Source organism: Homo sapiens, chromosome 4 (genome assembly GCF_000001405.40).
Source record: "Homo sapiens chromosome 4, GRCh38.p14 Primary Assembly".
In the NCBI taxonomy this organism is placed as follows: Eukaryota; Metazoa; Chordata; class Mammalia; order Primates; family Hominidae; genus Homo; species Homo sapiens.
The window spans coordinates 30,827,691-30,849,995 of NC_000004.12; the positions used below are offsets into that span (position 1 = coordinate 30,827,691).

Sequence of the window (22,305 nt, forward strand, 5' to 3'; positions counted from 1 at the left end):
ACATATCTGCTGAGTACAGATCAGTGAAGAGAGTAGCCTGTAGGAGATTACTATGTGACAGAACATGATTCGTATTCTCAAGAAACATACAATCTAGTATGTGCATAGATGTCAATTCTGGAAAACTTATTGGAAGACATGTTTAGGATCAAGTTGTTGAAGGAGCAATCCATGCAATCCTTATAAGAGGCAGAGCCTAGCAGTTAAGAATAATTAAGAACTTAGGTTTTGTAGTTACACTGCTGATATGTATAAAGTCCAGCAGCATCATTTATTAGCTTGTGATCCCTGGGGAGGTCCTTAATCTACCTCTACTTCTGTTGCCTCATCTATAAAATGAGGATAGCACATATAACCTACTTCATATGGTTGTTGGACAAACACAAAGCACATTCTTTGTGCTGTGCATTATCATAAGCACTGTATAAATAAGCCATTGAATATGCAGAAGAAGTAGGTGGTACTATTATTGTTAGTTTTGAGAGGATAAAAGGAGTTGATGTATAAAAAGTATTTCAGGCAATGACTATCTCAACAAAAATTACCCTTAGTAAAGGAAAAAAAAATATGTTGAAAGCAGAGGAAACGTCATGTGCATAAGCTATAAAAACAAGAATAAATACATAATATATGCTTGCTGAAGTAACTACCACGAGTTTGGTTCTGGTGATTAATAAAGAAATTCTCAAGTGGAATGTGGCACAATGAGCTTCTCTACTTCCAGTGTCAACATATGAAATATACCCAGCTATTCACATTTTTGTGGCTTAAAACAATGTCAGTTACCTCATTAATAGTCTTCTCTTCAGTTAAGAGGCAGTTTCCCCCATGAGAATGCATGTGTTCATCATGAAATCTAATTAGAGTGATACCAAAAAAAAAAGGTAATGAAAAAATGTGGTTTGTAAACCTGCATGTTTTTCTGAATTGCCTCTTGTGTGCAAAAAAACATAAGGCTGGTTACTATGGTTCCGAGAGCATGGTTCTCTGGTTACGTTGACTCTTTTAAGAATTGCTCACTTTTCTCTACTCGCAATATACACATTGAATATCATGCCTGTGCAATTATGGCTGCTGAAGGTATTTTCTGGTTTGTCATTTATAAGACTCTCTACACAGTTTGCCTTTACCTTGGCCCTGAGGTTTTTTTTTTGTTGTTGTTGTTAAACCCATGATTTTAATAGTGACAGTTAATCAATATATTTCTTAACTCATTTGCAATTGTCATTTGACTGTGTTTTATAAAAGCTTTAATGGTCTGTAAGCCTTGTGAGTTCTTTTTGAATGTGGCTGTTAGGACATGTTTTCCTTAAAGTAAACTAACATGAAGGTTTATGCCTGAGTTTAATTCAGATCTAAGCCATATACATGTGCAGATACACATGTACCTGCACTTTATTTCATTGCTTCATCTTTTCAAACTGTAGCTGCCATTCTTTTGTGTTTGGTTTTGGAAGGGAAGAGCATTTGAGAAACTGATCCTGGGATTTGTGTGTGCTGAGAGAGAGAGAGGACTCTACCCAGGGAACCACATTATAGGCAGAAAGAATGAAATGGTTCTAGATGTATAATTGAATACTTCATTCCACAAGCATTAATTAAATACCTAATGTAAATTAAATACATATAAATATATGAATATAGAAAATTGTTTGTTTAATTTCCTAGTTATCAAACAGGTAGAATTCAGATTTACACAAATGTGATGTAAAATTAAATGATATCATTCAGCAGAGAAGAAGTTGAGGGGCAGTTTTAGAAATTTTACCCCCCAAGGCTGGAGGGAAAATCTCTGTTAATGAATCAGATTTTGCTCTTTAGAAGCAAAGTGTTGGTAGAGAAGGTATCAGTATATCAGTATTTAGAAGCAACAGCCTGAACCCACAGATGCAGCCCTATTTCATGAAGCAATTGTCAGTGGTAGCTAATTGATATCCACTATCAGGTATCTAAGTTGAAATCTTACCACATGTCATTATTTTAAACAGATAAGACTATGACAATGTCACCAATCCTAGTAAACTGGGAGGTGGGGAAGAACCAGACAATTTGCATTATCCACAGTATTTAGAAATATGGCTAATAAAATGTAGGAAGCTTTATCATCTTATTGCACACAGTTTGCTCTAAAATAGAAGGGGGATGGAGAGGAGTTGATGATATGTTGTTATATGGACCACTTTATAGCCCGCATTCATTATAATATGACAGTTGCCCCATTGACACCATGTTATTTATTGAAAAGCAGAGCAAATAGGCTAGTAAATCATGATTGCACATCTAGCTAATCAGAATCTGCTCTGGTTTCATGCACGTTAATTTTTAAAACTTATTTATTCTGCTTTTCATTTTATTTTTTATTGCTCTTTGTTTAATAGCAATCTTTTCTTTAATAGACTCTCATCTTGAGACATTTTAAAATGCACTACGTGTCAAATCTGATTCAACTATGATACCTAAATGCATATTATTTAAATTAAATATGAATGCTTTGAAAAGTGTATACTTATATCATAATTGCTTAAAACTGCATTTTCACATTATGTATGTTGTAGAGTTGAATCTTGTTAATGTATGCAAGAACCAAAGTTAGTTTAAAAAAAGTAAAATAAATTATTCACATCACATACATCTATACATCTGATAGTGTAATTAGCAATCAAAAGTACTACGTATGGTGATGTAATAAGGACATTATAATTTTTGTACATCCTGCTGATGATGGATTTAGATTTCACATTTTGCATATTTTCTATTTTATTATTTTAGACTAAAAAAAGATTTAAAAAATAACATGTTTTGTTATTTTAGTTCCTTTTTTAATCATCCTTCACGCTCCTTTTGCTTTCCTTCCGTGTCTGGCTCTCATTTCCTCAGTTTAGATAGGACTTGTTTTTCTTCATTTATCTTGACTCTCTTTCCTGCTCTGCAGTGCTAACACTAATAATAATAATAGAAATCTTGGGCCTAGATCTTGGGATTTGGGAGGTCATTGTGGTTACTTCTTTGCTTTTAGTTAGCTTGCTAGCCATTTCAGAAAGAAAATCATTTATGCTTTTCTCAACATGCCCACAGATTTCTTGCATGTTTCCAGTTGTATTTGATCTCATTATTCCAAAAGTTTTATGTATCATAATGTTAAACACTTTAGCTAAAAGATTACTACTCCAATTCTCATTTCCTCATAATGCTGCCAATGTTTTAACACTTTCTTCTACTTCAACTCATTCCACTCTCTCCATCTTTCTCTTCACTAAATGTTGGACTTCTCTCTATTTGATATAACTCTAGTCACTTTTAATAGAGTAAAAGCATTTCATCAAAAATAATTTTCTGAAAGTATGGGTGTGCCGACATCCCACTAGTTAACGGTTTCCCACAGGTGTATTTTAATTCATTCTTAGGCATTTCTTTACCCTCCCAGGCACTGCTATCTCTGCAGCATCTCCATCTTGTTTTCTGTGGGGGTTATGATGCTTCCACATCCTCTCCAACTGGACAGAATTTGTCCCTCATACGCTTCGTCTATTTATGCCTGGACAATTAAGAAGCATCATAACTAGAATTGGTTCAGATGAAATATATTTCTGTTTTGTGCCACCGTCTTGAGACCCACTCCAGAAAAGGAGCCTGGGATATGGACTTGATTAACTCAAAGAATTGGGTTCAATTCATAGTCTTGGCCTTTACTAGCTATGGGACAAAACTTCCATCAATAAAATGAGTATAACAACTATACATAGGGTAATATCAGTTTTAAACTGTATTAGATAACATTTGTAAAGTCTTAGGCACAAATTCTCAGATAAAGTCTTGAACATGGGTATTCAACAGATTTCACAAGCATTGCTTGTTTTCATTATGTAAATACACCACAAAACTATTCTTAGCGGATTAATACAAAATAAAACAAACAAAAAGGAAAGAAGGACCTCTACTCATTGTATACACCCTCTCTCATCAGGCTAACTCTGAACCAGGAAGAAATGCATTAGAGTCAAATTTAGCTATAGTTACCCAGCTAATGGTAGGATGATATAAGGCCTATTTTCATACCAGCTACTGAAACAGAATCTCATCTGTAAAATGGGCATAAACCCCCTTTTCATAGAGTTATTATTGATGAATATTCAATCATCAATAAACTTCTTTGTCATGCTCTGCTAGTCAAGTTTTTTTTCCTATGATGAGTTCTGTCTCTAATATTAAAGTAGCATGAATGATTTGTATTTAAGATATTTTGTAATTTTCATAATTTTGCATTTTTAATGTATGGCCACCACTCATTGAGATCTAGCCATATATGAATCAGTACTTAAACGATTCTCAAAAAGTAACACTTTAGAAAAGCACAGTAACTCATACATGACTCAATGAGATTTGTTCAATTTCTTTTGAAAGAAACACAGTTCACACCTAGAAGTGAGCTCAGCATCACAGGTTGAGGGAGACTTGTGAGCTTTCTCTTGCTATGGGGGAATGAAACCTGGTTTCGGCTAGAAAGGATGCAACCTATAATAACACAAAAACATCCCGTGACTCCACTGTTGAAGAATTTTGTCTCACTTATCCATTCACATGCAGCAGGAATGGTGCCTAATTTTTAGACTCCTGAAGAACTTCTTTATGTCTCTTTTTCTTTCTTGCTTACTTGCTTTCTTGCTTTCTCACTGTTGGATACATCTGGTATATTCTGAAACTAAATATCTTGTAAGCATCGACAGATTTTTGAATAATGTGATATTATATTAACTGTTAACAGTGAAGCCTGTTGTTCTTTCATTGATAAATATTCAGTGATCAGAGGCTCTAATGATTAGTGGTTATAAGCATGAACCAGAGCTTAAATCCATTTCTGTCATCACTAATATAGTGCCTACCTTGTAACAATGTTGTTAGGAAAAAAATAGAAGTAAAAATTTATCCCCTCTGTGTGTTTGTGCATGCACTTGTGCTCCTGCATGTGCATGTACTTAAAGATTTTTCTAGCCATTCATCCATTAATTTAAGTCAAGAAACTTTGATGGTCCTGTCATGAGCCATACACTGTCTAGATACCAGATATGCAGATATGAATGAGGACACAGTTCCTCTCCTCCAGGCAGTCCCTGTCTAGTGAGTAAGATGGATAAATATATTATCCATTAACTAATGTGATCAACGCAATAATGGAGTAGTAGATTCAGTGCAGCAGAACCAATGTGGCAGGTCGAAATACTCAGTGTAGGTCACAGAAGGCAGGCTAATTGCACTTTCTACTACAATATCTCTGTAGCAGAAAGGTGGAAGCCTGTTTGGAATCCAGTGTTAAAGTATAGACTCTGCTGGCTTCAAGCAATAAGAGCCTGCTTTGTGACAGTATTTACTGGACATTAAGGATGGGAATATTCAATGCTGGAGGGCTTATTTGGAATGTGTTTTTGTGTGTGTGCATGCATGTGGGTACACATGCTATGTCTGTAGACATTATAGTAGCATCCTATTGCTGTTCTAACAAATTGAGTGTCTTAAAACATCTCAAATTTATCTTACAATTTTGGAGGCCAGAAGCAGGAAATGGGTCTCAGTGGGCTAAAATCCAGATATCAGCAGGATTCCTGGAGGCTCTAGGGGAGGATATGTTTTCTTGCCTCTTTCAGCTTCTAGACATTGGCTGTATTCCTTGGCTTACAGTCCCCTTCCATCTTCAAAGTCAGCAGTGGCTGGTCATGGGAGTCTCAAATTCTTATCACTCTGACACTGACTCTTCCGCCTTCTGCTTCCACATATAAGAGCCCTTGTGATTACATTGGCCCACTTAGATAAACCAAGATAATCTTCTATTTTAAAATCATCTGGTTAGCATCCTTAATTCCAGCTGTCGTCTTAGTCCCATCCCCACCCCCTGCCACCACATAACATAGTATATTCATAGGGTACATGGGTAAGGATGTGGGCATCTTTGGGAGGAGAGTCTTTATTCTGCACAAAGGTGCAGCTAAGGATTGTATATCAGGGAGAAAATGTAGAAAATTAACAATACAAGGAAAGTACTTTACATCTGAACACGAGAGAGATCAGAACTTGAATCGCTTAAGAAACTGCGTTGTTACATGCACTATGTGCCATGATGAGACAGAAATTACGCAGATAATCAAATGGAAAATGTCATATAAATGTTGTATAAAGATGACGGAAAGAACATTCTGAACACTTTGTATGAAGGAAGGACAAGAGAGTTGTCTGTCAAATAAGTAAGAGGTGGTGCATTTTGCTGATAGGATCCCAAATCCAGTGTAGCTAAGAACATTGTTGCAAACTTTAGAGGTCATTAGAAATTTAGATCTACCCAGAATCTTTAAAAATGTGCCATTTTCCTTTATATTTCTTACGTGTTCAGTGAAGTCATAAGCTCTTTGATAACAAAAGCTAAAACATATAACACCATGTGCCAGGCACTTTTCCAACTGCTTCACAGGTAGTAATCATTTACTTATCACCAGGGCCCACTTCTAGGGCACTGGCCTAGAAAGTCACACAGGACCTTGCACTGAGAAAGATCCCCACTTGGTTTAATGGTTTGCTGTTACCATCTTGAAATTCTTAATAATTTTTGAACAAAGGGCCCTGCTTTTTCCTTTTGCACGAGGCCTCATAAATTGTATCATTGCTCCTGCTCATCACGATAAAGCAATATATCAGATACAATTATTATCAACATTTTGTAGAAGAGGAAATTGAGGCATAGAAGGGTTAACTTGCCAACGTCACACGGCTGTTGCATTAGAGAGCCAGGATTTTAAACTGAGGTGCTTTGAACCACTTCACTCTCCTGCTTATTTGAGATAATGTCTTCTTAAATGTGTCTGTTCCCCAACTATGACACACTGTCTGGTACATGGTTAGCTTTCAGTAAGTGCTTGTTGAACAGAATTATGTTTGATGGTCTTTGGTAAAAATGTTCATTTCAGTTTTCAACTAATAGAGATGAAAGTAAAAAAAAAAAAAACCTGAGTCTCTTCCAAGACATTTGTGTAAACAAGCAAAAATCAGCTTTTTCCCTTTGCATAGTCATATGTCTGAGGATGTTCCCTTGTTCAAGGTATGTTATTTATTATGTATTAGATTTATACAGCAAAATTTTCTGGAGAGATCTGATAAAATGACACAAAGCAATATTTTTCCACTGTCCTAATTTATCTTGAAGAAATTTGAACTTTATAAACATTGGTGTTATATATATATATATGTGTATATATATACACACACACACATATATATTCATCAATAAAATTGCTATAAATGTAAATACATGTGTATGCAATAAAGTGAGAATAGGAGAGCCATATATAATAATAAACCAGAAGGATGGGAGAGGTAGCTGAATTTGTCGGTTGTTACACCTTAAACAAATTTAATGCACATCTTCTGGGGTTTGCTGTGTGCCATATGCTAGGCAGTATGAGGGAAAATTCGTAATAATTGTATTAGTAAGAATAATAAAGTCATTCCCGGGAGCGCAGAGTCAGCAGATTGAGACAGGGATCCCAACCCCCGGGCCACGAACCGGTCCAGGTTCATGGCCTGTTAGTAACCGGGCCACACAGCAGGAGGTGAGCACAGGCAAGCGAGCATTACTGCCTGAGCTCTGTCTCCTGCCAGACGAGCGGTGGCATTAGATTTTCACAGGAGTGTGAAACCTATTGTGAACTGCTCATGTGAAGGATCTAGGTGGCATGGTCTTTCTGAGAATCTAACTAATGCCTGATGATCTGAGGTAAAAGAGCTTCATCCAAAAGCCATCTCCCACCCACCAGCCTTCGTTCGAGGAAAAATTGTCTTCCAGGAAACCGGGTCCCTGATGCCAAAAAGGCTGGGGACTGCTGAGCTGAGAGATCCAATCATATGGAGGTCTCATCAGAGAGACTGTATGGCAAAGACTGGAAGAGAGGGCATAGTAGGAGCACAAGCCCAGGGCTTGGACATTTTAATGATGATTCTATCAGTTGAAAACATGTAACTTTGGGCCGCTCACAGCCATTATGTATATTTCACCATCTGTAAAGTGGGGCTAATAATATCCCTTCTACCTACTTCCAGAGATGATGTAATTACTAAATGGATCCATAAATATGAATGCATGCTGAACATTTTTTAAAATGGGAGGAGGAGGAGGGAGGCATTAAATTAAGGTGTTTTTCTTGCACTAAGTATTGTTCCAAATAAGACATAGGCAATAAAATCACAACATATGAAAAAGAAGCCTTATTTAGCATGAAACACTGCTATATTATTTTAATCCCTACTTTACTACCTTACCTTAGATAATTCATATCTGGTGATTCAGATACTTGTTGGACCAAAACAAAGAGATTGAAGATGTTAGCAGTGCTAATTTATTTTCAGCTTTAATTCACCATGTTATGTAATCCATATTTGGTTGACTTGGATAGCTAATGGAGAGGGCAAAACATGAAGATGTTGTAAGTACTGACTTATTTGATTCATTTCATTATGTTATTGAGCATTTATTATTTATAAGGCATTATGAGTGGCACAGAAATAAACAAGATAAATAAGATGTAGTCTATACCCTTACAGAGTGCACAGTTTACTAGTGACAATGGGAATAAAATGTTTGCATACAAGACCAAATGTATTAAGTGCTGTGAGAGAATAGCTGCAAGGATCCACAGGAGGAAGTGACCATATGAAATAGAAAACCACGTAACTAACAATCTGAATGTTGTCTTTGGCAAGAAAAAACATAGTTTAAAATAAAGCAGTGTGGAATAAATAGAAAGTGTAGGAGAAGGTATTATCATTTTATGGAAATCCCCTAAGTTGCTTTATAAAGAATAACCAATGCTGCCCAGGAGATTGTATATGTTGGCAAATTTTTTCATAGCAACATTTACTGTGGCTTATGAAAATTTAAATTTCTCTCCTGAAAGTTTTATTGCAAAGAGGAATAGTTTTGAAAACATGACCAGGAGATCTAGGAGTAAAATAATGTTATGATAAAAACCTGTAGCCTGGAGGTTATCATAATGAAAAAAAAAATCTCACTCTAGCTGGTTCAGATCATTCCAAAATAGGATTATAATATCTGCAGATTTCCAACACAAGAGATGAAAATCCCACCACGAATACACCCATTTACATTCTTGTGACCTGGAATGACTGTCAGAGTAACTCATTGTTTTATTTCAACAGCCAAGCCGAGTGCCTTAGAGTTCATTATCACCGACTCACTTTAAACCGTACTGGCCAGCACAGTAGGACAGTTGAGGCTCCTCCTTGAGACACATATAAAACATGGAACATTGAGAAACCAGCTTTTGGTTGTCAGTATTTTTGAAAAGAGAGTACCACATGACAGATACACGAAGTCTAGAGTGGTTAAGAGTGTAAGAACTGCATCTTGTGTCTTTTTAATTTTTTTTTTACATTGAATCAATGATTGTATGATAAGTAGTGTAACAAAGATTTCAGGAGCAAATATGCACCAAAGCACTGGATTAGACCTGTGCAGAAATTATTAAAATTACTCCGGGCTAAGGGCTTTGTTCCTGCTGGCCACCTGCAGTGTGTGGTAATGCCCTTTTAACGTTCTATCCAGGGCCCTGCATGGACTGTCTGATTTGACATTGGACACTACTAAGAGGAGACAAGCATGCAGAGAGAGAATGATTAATGTAAGCCCTTCTGTAACTAGCCAGAGGCTTAAGGAATTCTTTTCTGCAGCATTCCAGAGATAATTGCCTACCACTTTATCTAGGAGAGTGTTGTGTCATTAAAAAAAAAAAATGGCATACTGTGACACCTAAGAGGTTGGTTATGTTACAAATAAGGAAGGAAATTAAAAACAAAATAGAAAATAGAGAAAAAAAAACGAGAATAGAGGGGAGTATGTAGAGTGTTTGAGGGAGGATGGGCATTGTCTGTTTCATTTGTTTTTGAGTTAATAAACGCAAAGGTTTGATAAATTTTTCCTTTACGTACCGACAAAGTTTCATGAATTCTCTGAAAAGTCAATGTTTTGTAAGTTGAAGGCAACAGACTTGCCAGCTGGAAACCTTTATTTTACAAATTAACTCTCGCTCTATTATTAATGTCTCTATAAATGAAACTCTAATATAAGACACTAAACAGAGTACATTTCTAAAAATAATTGATTTTATATATATAATCAATTATTTTAAAAATATATATTTATTATGTATATTTTATATATATATATATATAACATTATTGTGTTTGAATCCATTAATGTCTTATATGAGACCAATTCTGTTCCAATTTGGCATTAGCAATCCACAAGAGCATGTTAAGTTCCAAAATATTGTAGCGAAATATCTTCTTCATCATGCTGGGGCTGGGGGCTAGGAGAGATAATCGACTTCAGTTGTGTACAGAATGCCTGGGTGCTCCATATGGCCTATTTTCCATTGGCAAGTGAGTCCTTAAAATCTTAGGGAATTCTGCTACATATGCATAAATATTATAAATTAATGTTCTAATGTGCTTTGAGGCCCTTGCTGAATGAATGGCAGGCAAAATGAAATGAAAAATAAAACATTTTTTAAAGAAACCATAGGCATGTGGTTCTCCCCAGGCACTGGAATTAGGAATTTGATATACATTTTTTTTTTATTTTAACTCAATGACTAGATCCTTCCTTTTCTGGAATGAACTCTTGGGAGATGTACTTAAATTAGGCCTTTTCTTGACACCTTAGCATTCAGAAGGGGCTGTAATCATTCCAGTCAAATCCCTTGCCTCGTTCTTAACTTATCAATGTTTCTCAAACACATTTTAAAGGGTTTTTTTTCCCCCTTTTAAAATAAACATAGACAATGCATTAAGCCACGTGGAAGTGATCTATCAGAAAGCTTATCTAGAAAAACAGCACTCAATTAAGAAGCCAGTCCCTGGCTTTGCTAGAGCAGCTCAGGCAGCCCAAGAATTCTTTTTCTTTTTTTTCCGTCTTTGTATTTTTTTTCTTTAGTGAAGATTCAGATTGGTTCTCTCTATGCACATCCTGGAAGTGGAAAGAACTGTGGATCTTATTTTCTGTGGCAGAACAGTGATTTACAGGGAAAATAGTTCAACTGAGAACCACTAAATGCAGAAAGTCTAGCATCCAAGACTATACCCTCAGATCAGGGGCCAACGTTTCTTAGAAATCAACTCATCCACATGTTGAAAAATCTAACTAATTTATGGACTATAGGGAGAAAAGCATCTCCCTACTTTCTTCCTACCTTCCTTCCTTCCATCCTTCTTTTTTTAAGGTATTTACTTTGAAGTATTACATTAGTAGGCAGAGACTGAGTAAAATCAAGTAACAATAGAGCACTAGTATGAAAGGGCATCCTGAATTTATAATATTGTTTCTCCAATTAATAATTATTAAATATACAGTATATATCTATGTTATATGTAGTATATATAATAATCACAATTGCTATATATAATAATTGCTATGTATTATGTAGTATACTCTCTCTATATATATGTGTGTACATAACCAATTAATAATTACTAAGTATTTTGGACCTGAATTATCATTATTCATTAGTAGAGATAATATAGCCAAAAGGAATGAGAAGGGGACTTGTAGTCAAGCTGACTTAAGTTCAGTCCTCAAATTTCTTGGGCCTAATTTCTTCATATGTAAAACAGAAGTAACGATAGTTTTTATATAGCTATTGTGTGTAAGCTGCAAAATATGCTAAATACCTGGAATAGTGTCTGGCTCATGGAAATAATAAGTGGCAGCAAGTATGATTTCGTATTATGCAAGTTGAATAATAATTATTGGCATCCTAGGCCCATCCTTATGGGGGTCACGGTAATTTTTATTTTTTGCCATAGAACCTGTGATGAGAGAAATGTAACACTTACCCCAGGTCACCCAATAAGTCACTCTATGTCATTAGGACTTAAGGGTTTTCAGCTTCACTGTCTGATTTCAGTCCATTAGGCCACAAAGTCATCAAAACAAACCAGAAAAGAGCACCATCAAAAGCAAAAGTAATAAAATCAAAGGATCCTGGAGCAGTATTGTACTAAAAGCCATCTGCTATCTTAGTCTATATTCTCAACCCTCTTGAAATGTTATTTGTAAAGCTTTAAAAGGCTTGACTGGAAACCTTCATGTCTTTTTAAAGATACAGTATATCTATTGCTGACTCATGCATGCTAAATTAAGAATTGTAATATGGGTTTTTGAATATACATCAGAGAAATGCCAATACTTTTTCCATTGCCAAAGCCCTTAGGCTTTTGCTGTTGAGAAAGAGGCTTTATGATTAGCTAAGCAAATGATTAGTGCGACAGTAGCAATGATGATGAGTGTGTGTGTGTGTGTGTGTGTGTGGTTTTGTAACTGTTTGGAGGAGTAGGGGTAGTTGAACAAAATATTTGCACCACTGAAATGATAATAAATATTGGTATGCATTTCTTTTCAGTTATTTTTTTTTTAATCTAATGTCCTTATCTGCCTGCTAGGATTTCTGTGCCATAATCAGGTAGGAGAAAAAAAAGACACAAAACTGCTGTCTTAGCATTTCCACTTGACTTTGGTGCCTTGTCTCCCTGCCTTGCTCTGTCGGATGTCCTTATTCTTTCCACTTCTTTTCTCATTTGGACTTGGCAGGAATGCCTTAGCTCAGTGCCAGTGTGGTAACCTTAAACTCGCTTACTTAAGTGGCTGATCTCATCGCTTCCTTTATGTGGTTTGTGGGATTTTTCCCCTCTTTGCCTTATTACGTCCCTTGACCACCTTGCAGCTTCATCTATCTCATACTTCCGTTATTGTATTATCCTTTAAAAATAAAACAATAAATATTTAAAACATAAAGCATTTTTATGATAGTTGTGGGGGTAGATATTTTTATAGAAACAATAATGAGAAAAAAAATGGATTTCTCCAAGCTTTATAAAGCCCCAACTACGCAGAGGGCAAATTCTCAAGTTACAGGATTCTACTTGTCCTATTTCTGAGGAGCAGAACAAAATTTTTTTTGCAGATATTTTAAGAGATGGCAAAACAGGGAAGCAAACCAAAGTCATTACAAAAGCCTCCCAGTGTAGACCCAGCCATCTGCATATAGTTCACAGAACTCTTCTGTTTATTTATGAGTCGTGGAATGTGTAAAGCCAACTTCTAGCTGTAAAAGGACGTACAGTTGCTCTCATATAATTTCTTTGGCCCTTTTTTTTTTTCTGCAAAACCAAGAGTTTGCTTTCTCATATTCAAGGAAACACTGCCATGCATAAGGACCCAGTTTTTGGGAATTCCGATTCTTTTGCAAAAGCATTTTAAATGACAACTAAAAAATACACTTAAAACGTAAGACTATGGAATTTAAATAAATGCAACTGATCTTGATATATATATCTCGAAGCACTGCACCTGCCTAAAAATACTTTTTCATAGTTCTAATGTACTCTGTAAAAGAAACAGAATTAAATTGAAGAAAGAAACCTTCATTTTTCAGTATAATTTGGTTCTTTTCAAGATAATAACCTTAGATTAAGACAGTCACAAAGAAAGACAATGAAAAAAAGTCACTTATTTTACCTTAAGACTTCACAATTTGCTTCCTAGTAATATATTTTTCCGGAGGTTTTTATAGGGGAAATGATTTCTCAAATTTCATCTTGATATAATGAGTTCAAGGAACTAAATTGTTTAGACATTAAAAAATTAAATATCTCTGCCATTCTTGTTCTGTAGTTCTGTGCTCTATCTTTTCAGTTAAAAAGAACATTATGTTTTGCAGTCCAGCAACTTCTTTGATATGATGTTTTAGTTTAATCTATCTAAAGCATTACCCTCCAGACATTCTAAGAAACTTGTTTTTCTGACGTGATGTGATTTTGTGATCTCTTTGAAACATTTTCAGCCTTAAGCATTAAGCACAAATAGATGGAAATAGGTGGTAGCTTGAATGTTTGCCCTGTAAATGTGGGTTTGGAGTTACCCCCCTGTATATGTGAAAATGTAAAATAACACATATACCCTAGAATATAAGGATATAAACAAGTACTATGCTGGGCAAGGTCAGGGTTATCTAACCCTGACTTATCTTTGTCTCCTTATAATTTCCAGTGCATCTTGGCTAATATCTGGGGATAGTGTAGTTACAAAGGGGATGTTACCACCCTAAAAACTGAAAATCAAATTTAATATTCTCCTGAGTTGTCCATTGAGACAGATAATCCTCTGGTTTATACATTTAAGACCCTTACCACTAGAATAGGTGTCAGCAGGTTAATATTATATATTTTTTTAGGAATGTTGAGTCTGAGAACATAATTTCAGAGAAAGTGGAAGGAAGAAAGACAAAGACCGTTGGTCCCATGAGCTGGGTATGAGGATGAGAGGAGAATCTGATGTGGAAAACATATTTGACATTAATAAAATCTGGGCTCAAGTCTTCCACCTCTGCTCTTAGTATCAGTTCCAGCTATCTACAATATGATAGGCAGAGGTATAAATTTATTGGAAATAATTTCTTTATTACTTGTAATATTTTATATGGTGCTCTGTATATGGGGTTGGGCACCCAGAAATAACTTATTAAGGAGCACACAAATTAACCGAATGCATAGAAATACATAACTGGAACATAGTAAGATAAATTTGAATAAATGCCCAGTCATCATTTTCTCTGGGGTTCATATCTTTTTATGAATTTTATTGATATCATGTTCTCTTTTGAAGCACTTTTCACATTTGAAATTGGCAGTCTCATGGAACTGGATTAGTATCTGTCTTCTACACCACATTTTAAGTGCTTATAGTGGAAAGGACCAAAAATATTTATATGCATTATTATATCCCCAGAACATATAGGTATCTCAATAAATACTGTATTCAGTGAGTGGATGGATTGGATGGATGTGTGAATTAATGATGAAAGTTATACATGATGTGATATGATTACACTTAGTGTGGAAGGTGAGGTTGGAATGTGAACAGGTGGGGAAGGCAGGTTGTGAAGGATCTGGAACACCATAGGTATTAGCTTATATTCTGTAGGAGGCATTGAAAGAACTTTAGCAGGGAAGCTACAAGATAAGATTTACGGTTTAACAGACCACTGTGAAGGTTATATGGAGGAGGAACCACGAGAGGGACAGCAGCAGGGGGCACGTTGGATAGAGTACCTGCAGTAATTTTTATAGCACTCTTTTATTTTGCTCACAGTAGTGCTTACTACTCTCTGATATTTGTCTACTTATTCTATTGTTTTCCATCAAGTCCTGCTTATCATTCTATAAGAGAAGAAACAGCGTCTGTCTTATGCAATGCCGCAACCCTAGCAATTACTACCGGCATATGGTAGGGCCTCAATGTTATTGAATAAACAAATGACTTTTTTTTTTTTTTTTATAATTTGAGCATAGTTAGGGAACAGTTTATAAGTGTCAGTTGAGCTATATATTTTATCTTATTTCTACGAATCTTTTTTTTGGACACTTCTTCACATTCCATCTTTCGAATATAGAACTTTATTATTTATTTATTTATTTACAGGCAGAGTCTCACTCTGTTGCCCAGGGTGGAGTGCAGTGGTGCAATCTGGGCTCATTGTAATCTCCACCTCCCGGACTCAAGTGATTCTCCTGCCTCTGCCGCTGGAGTAGCTGGGACTACAGTTGTGCGCCCTGCTAATTTTTCAGTTATTAGTAGAGACAGGGTTTCGCCATGTTGGCCAGGCTGGTCTTGAACTCTCTACCTCAAGTAATCTGCCCACCTTGGCCTCCCAAAGTGCTGGGATTACAGGCGTGAGCCACTCCGCCTGGCCTGGAATATAGAACTTTAAAGAAAATAGACATAATGTTTCCAGTTGAGGATGTAGCGATTACTTGCAAAGTCTGTCACATTTTCTGATTTCTGTCTTTACTTTGTCAGTGTGTTTGCTATTAGACATAAAGCAAACAAAAAACCAAACATCTATCTGAACTAATTTTAACACTTTTAAATAACAAACTTGCTCTTGCACTACCTAGATTTTTTTTTGTGGTACATTTGGGCTGAGATTGCAATTTACCTTTTCATCAAGATTTGGATGGCCTCTTCTTATCAGTACGAAAATCTATTTAAGTTTACATGGACTGCACTTTCTCTTACAGACATAAATGACTTCACTGTGCCTAGGCATTTAAAATTCTTTCAAAACCTCAGGAGTACATCCACAGTGATGATTTCTCTGTGGGTTTCACTGGTAAAAAAATAAAATAAAAATAAAAAATAAAAGAAAAAAAAGTCATAGTAACAAGGAGCAAATGTCATGATCTTGACAATCAAATTCTGTTTCCTATTACAAATTACTTGCACTGTATGGTTCTCTTGCTTCCAGCGTCCAGGGAGTTTCTTAGCTGAAAAGTTGAGAATGTCAGATTATTTACATAAGTGGCTTATTCTGAGGTTATTGCTACCTGCTACCTGTGGATGCTTCACAAGCACTATGTTCTTGTATGTGGCATGCAGATGTTTCTGTTAACTCCTGTTAAATAAATATATAGGAAGTAAGCATCAACAATACGATCCCAAACTAAGAGTTTTCCTGTGTCATGTAATGTTACTAAACAAACAAATAAAAACTCATCTTATCATTGCAAAATTGCAAAATTGTCACTGTGGAAATAACAAATAGTATAATCAGCAATTTAAATTTTTTTCTTGTATACTTAGCTATAATTACCAGAAAAATTAGCTCTTCAGATATTTGCTTTTTAAGTCAATCCTCTGTGAACTCTGTGGATTCTAAGTTAGTATCGACTTCCACATACTTCTGTTGCCTGCTTTCTTTTTCATACTTGGAGCTTTTCTAGCTTTTTCAAGGAACAGCTTCTATAGTCATTTCTAAGGTAGGTACAGAGTTAAGGTGGTTAGAAAAAATTTATGGAAAGAAATAATCGTAAATCTCCTCCTCCAAATCAATTATTCACACAAACCACATTATTTACAAACATGTATATGTTTTGCTGTAGATATAGCCATCTTTGTTTCAAAAGGAATTTGAGCATACTGCAATCTGCATATTAATGAAATAAACTTGAGGGGCTGTGGTAGATATTGGAAAGAGAGCAGATTAATGTATGTGATCACTAAGGTTTAACCCTTCTAATTACATTCCACAGGGTTAAAATCAGGTGGGCTAGCCATGCCATCTCTTTTCTACATTTTGAGGGGGACGGAGGTGAGCAATACACCAGAAGTCTTTGAAAATCTGTGTATGATTTTGTCCATCAAAAGTGCATCTTTGAATAAGAAGGGAGTTTTGTTTTGGTTTTAGTTTTCTTTTCCTTCTTTCCCCTTCCACTGACACCAAAACCACTAATCTTCAGGGGAGTTTTGTCATTCCTTTATCAGTGAAGTTATTCTAAAGAGCTTAAATACTTAAGTGATTTCCTTTGGAGCAGTAATGGTGAATTATGCGGTGCTCTAATTGTGCTATTAGTTTATCTAAGCTAAAATTCAATCTACTTAATTTGAGGGTCTTATTACACAGTGGTTTGAAAAGGTGAAACACATTAAAAGGACATTGGTATTTTTAACAGGAGGTTTTAGCCTTTTCAGATGTTGTATTTGATGGAAATATTCTCTCTTACATTTATTTCTAATGTTAGTGTGAGATGTTTATTTTGATATGGAAGCATAACTTGGAAAATTTGTAGGAAATTTGCTTAGTATGCATTTATATGTTTTAACTTGTGGAGTTGAAGTTCCAGTTCTAGTAAAACCAACCCAACCTTATAATACATCTAAATATTATGTGAATTTGTTATGGAATTATACCACTTACATTGTGGTGTGCTTGAAACTTAAAAACACATGTTTTTAAGTTGGTGTAAATTTGGTGTAAAGTTACAACGCAATAGGAAATAGGATGGTTTACTGTGTATTCTCTCTTTGTCTTTTTGAAGACAAGGTCTACTTCTGTCATCCAGGCTGGAGTATGCAGTGGTGCAGTCACAGCTCACTACAAACTCAAACTCCTGGACTCAAGCCATCCTCACTCCTTAGCCTCCCAAGTAGCTGAGACTACAAGTGTGTGCCACCAGGTTAATTTTAAAAACTTTTAGAGACAGAGTAACATTACATTGCCCAGGCTGGTCTTGAACTCCTGACCTCAAGTGATCCTCCTGCAGCTGCCTCCCAAAGTGTTGGGATTACAGGTGTAAACCACCACACTTGGCCTCTCTATTCTTATTTGAATGCTGTGAAACTAGAAATTGATTAACTCAATACTATGTAAAAAGTGCTTAAGAAATTTTGAATTTTTGAAACTGAATTTTCATCTTGGAATTATTGGTAGTCTAATAATGGTAGTCTAATGGTAATAATGGTAGTCTAATGAGCAGCTACACTATTTATCCATACATTAAAATTTTACTTATAGTGATAGCTATAACTAAAACATGGTCTGAATATATCTATACCAGGGTTTCCCAATGTTGGCACTATTGATATTTTGGATCAGACAATTCTTGCTACGGTTTGAATGTGTCCCCAAAGTTCAATGCAACAGTGTTGATAGTTGAGGCCTTTAAGAGGTGATTAGGTCATGAGGGCATTGCCCTCATGAATGGATTCATGTTGCTATCACAGGAGGCAGTGGATTAGTTATTAGAATAGTGGATTTCTGATAAAAGGATGAATCTGGCCTCCTTGCTCCCCCTCTCTTGTACTCTCTTACCCTTCTTCTTCCTTTCATGGGAAGACACAGCAAGAAGGCCCGCACCAGATGCTGGCAACTTGATGTTATACTTTCCAGACTCCAGAACTGTGAGTTTTTTTTTTTTTTAAATAAACTGCCCGGTCTGTGGTATTATGTTATAGTAACACAAAATGGACTAAGACAATTATTACTTGTGGGTAGCTGTCCTGTGCAGGATAAAGTGTTTAACAGCATCCTTGGTGTCTACTTATTAGGTTCCAATAGTGCCACCCAAGTTGTGAGGATCAAAAGTATTTCCAGACATTGTCAAATATCAACTAAAAAGAATTGCCTGTTGAGAACTATTGTTTCTAAGGTAAATATGCAGTTACATTTTATTGTTGTTCAAAATATTTGCTATGCATATGTCCAGGTATGTTTAGCCTCCAGTTCTATGTGTAGAAATCAGGCTTTTAACAGACAGGATGCAGCCAGGGGCAGTGGCTCATGACTATAATCTCAGCATTTTGGAAGGCCGAGACAGAAGGATTGCTTGAGGCCAGAAGTTGGAGACCAGCCTGGGCAACATGACAAGACCTCATTTCTACAAGAAATTAAAAATTAGCTGGGCATGGTGGCATGTTCAAGAAGTTCCAGCTACCTGGGAGGCTGAGGTGGGAGGAGCACTTGAGCCCAGGAGGTCAAGGATGCAGTGAGCTATGATCATACCACTGTACTCCAGCCTAGGCAACAGAGTGAGATCTTGTCAATAAATAAATAAATAAGTAAAAAAAAAAGAATGCATTTTTTTAAAAAAGGTTTTAACTTTATTCATAATTTATAATGCTACTATCAGATTTTGTGCTTTTACCTCTTTTTTATGTGGTGGATTGACAGAAGACAGATGCAGATTTACACCCTGTAGCTCAAGGAATGTGTGAGTGAGAATCCACTATGAGTAGTGTTAGCTTTCTGCATTAGAGGGCTGATTCAAACTAGTTGTGTTGCAGGCCTCCCTTTGTGCTTCACACCAGAAGGCTTTAGAATAAACATTTGGCTGAAACGTCTTTGCAGGACTCACCCAGCTGTCCTGTGAAGGAACTGTTGCCCACATCCACATGCATTAATGTCTGACTTGCCAAAATGTTTGTTTGCCTTCACATAGACAAAGGCACAATGCAATGTGAATAGTATACAGTTAAATTATTACTTCTTCAGCCAACCAAGTGAACATGGAATTTTTTCATACATAAGATAGATAGTTTAGTGAAACTTTTTTTTAAAAAAGAATGATAGAAATTTTTAGTTGACTTTTGCTGAAATCATAATTTTAAGTTAATTTTATAGTGGATTTTAATAATGTAAAGTGTTATAAACAAATTGCAGTATGATTTTTATTTCATTTTAGAGAATTATATATTTTACCACAGCTTTTCAATCTTATCTTATTTCCTTGCTCTTTCCTCACTAGCACTCTTCCTTTATTACTTTGTTCATATTGGTACTACTGTTGAATCTCTAAACCTAGTAATATATCAGTGTGAACCTAGGGTTTAGAGTTGACACGAATAAAGGTAGACTATTAACTATAAAACGATTTTCAAGAGAAAAGTCTAAACTTTTTCATTTTGCAGCTATTAATATATATTTAATGAATTGCCTTGATATATGCCTTCTCTGTCTTTAATGTATATGAAGATGGATTGGATTATTTATGTAAATGGATTACCCATATAAATAGATTATTTGTATACACTATAAGCACAAGTTTATGCAGTTGTGCAATCACATTCCCTTCTCTGGACTAACTTCTTTCTGAAATAGTTTTAATGAAGATAGCATCGGCAATCTGAAATCTTTGCTAGAGCCTAAAACTTTGCATGTAGCTAAACTTTGACTAGGTAGCAAACAAAAATATATTTTAAAATTTAAGGTACTCTGTGTAAACAATTAGGTAATTCAGTAGGAAAACAAAAATAGTTGAGGTAATATGTCATCAGGTGATTCTCTGCAAAATTATAATTTTAATATGTATTTACCACAGTGCTGGCATACAGCATGGCATACTAAATGGTGATTTTGAGTATTTAAAAAATTTTCTATAGCAAAGAACATTCCTTCCTTTTTCATTTAGTTTTTATTTATCAGATGAGGACAGATGCAATGAGGGCTGTGTGCCTAAATGAATACTTTTACTCTTGACTAAATTAGTCTGGCATAAACACAAGACTGCTAGCTTTCAGTACAATTGAAAATAAGTGCTGTGGTTCAGAGGTCTTTCTTTTCATAGTCCTGCCAAATCATGCTTAAAGTTCAGTTTGTATTCCAACAGTAGCATTTAAGACAGCATAGTTAAGAATCTCTTAACATTTCCATTTACAACTCTCCTCTCCTTCTAACATTTTCTTTATTGATTTTAGGATGTTTCATGGTAACAGCTTATCAGTACTTACAGCCAATGACCTAAGTATGCAATTAAAATTGTACTATCCTAGCTAGGTGATCAACTGGCCCTGACGGTGGGGCTTTGGAAATACTATTTTCTTTCCTCAAGACCTATTCTTATTACTAATTATAAAATGGAAAAGCACACTATTGAGGTTGAACCCTTTAGAGAAATCATGCTTGTTTCTTTATAGATTTAAACATGAAGATGCTTCAATATTTTTTCCTTGTTAATAACACTTATGGCCTTTAACATTCCATTCTAACTAAACACATTCACTTATTTGTGGTTTGTCAGTGGAGAAAAATAGCATAGGGAAGTCTATTTTTATGATTTAAATGTCAGTATGGAAAACTGCCATCCAAGAGAGCATACTGTTGGATGAAACTTGGCCTTTTGGTAGTCATGGGCTTGTGTGTAAGAGAACACTGACCTCCCTCTCCCCTCCAAAAACCACTCTTGGGGAAATCATAGATTCATAGTGAGAAAACATGTTAGCTCAACTACCTTAAAGTTGAGACAACTTCCACAGACAAGAGCAAATTACCTGTAAGATCACAACATGTGTTTACTGATTCTCAGAATAGGCAGACTGACCTTTCAGGGCCTTTGCCCATTTCGTGTTACTTTCAGTCTTCTTCCCTCCGATTTACCACTGTATCACAGGACAGATCTTCAGCGATGTTAAATATAAAAAACATGGATGAACAATATGCATGTGTGCATGCCTGTGTGTGTCTATGAGTTAGGTTATTATGAATGTGTAGCTTCTGCTTACTCCAGAGTAATGAGCTATATAATTTTGTAAGTTTATTTTACCTTTTTGGGTCTCATTGTCTTTGTGTGTAAAATATAAACCTGCTGCTTGTTCTGAGAGATCTATTCACTAAATTTAAAGCATCGATCATTTTCTTCCACTAAGACCCTCGCATTGTCCTCTTCCTTCTCAAGCTTCAAATTCTGTGAGGTCTCCTTTCTTTTCTGGTATTTCTTTAATTTCTATTCCTGGAATCCAAGGCAGAATAGGTTCTCCCATTCTCTGTGAGTAGAGACATATCTGTGTTAGTCTGGGACTTAGGTCTATACTTTCTAGCTTCGGGTCAAAATTCTTCTCTTGAAAGATGAAATTCTGTCAGGACCCCAATCTTTGTTTATAACATTACTTTGCCTATAGCATAATTTTCTTTATTCTGCAAA

General features: G+C 35.7%; 1 protein-coding gene across 2 annotated transcripts in view, besides 1 other annotated feature; it reads left to right on the forward strand.

Moving 5' to 3' along the window:
- The window catches only part of PCDH7 (protocadherin 7), a 426,432-nt gene that overhangs the window by 107,322 nt on the left and 296,805 nt on the right, over positions 1-22,305 (forward strand). The gene's annotated exons all lie outside the window — the stretch shown is intronic.
- Positions 9,402-9,962: an enhancer, noted in NCBI's record as "NANOG hESC enhancer chr4:30838714-30839274 (GRCh37/hg19 assembly coordinates)". NCBI's record gives its function as "activates a minimal SCP1, AML or CMV promoter by ChIP-STARR-seq in primed H9 embryonic stem cells {active_cell/tissue: H9 hESC(primed)}" and the evidence as "EXISTENCE:reporter gene assay evidence [ECO:0000049][PMID:30033119]".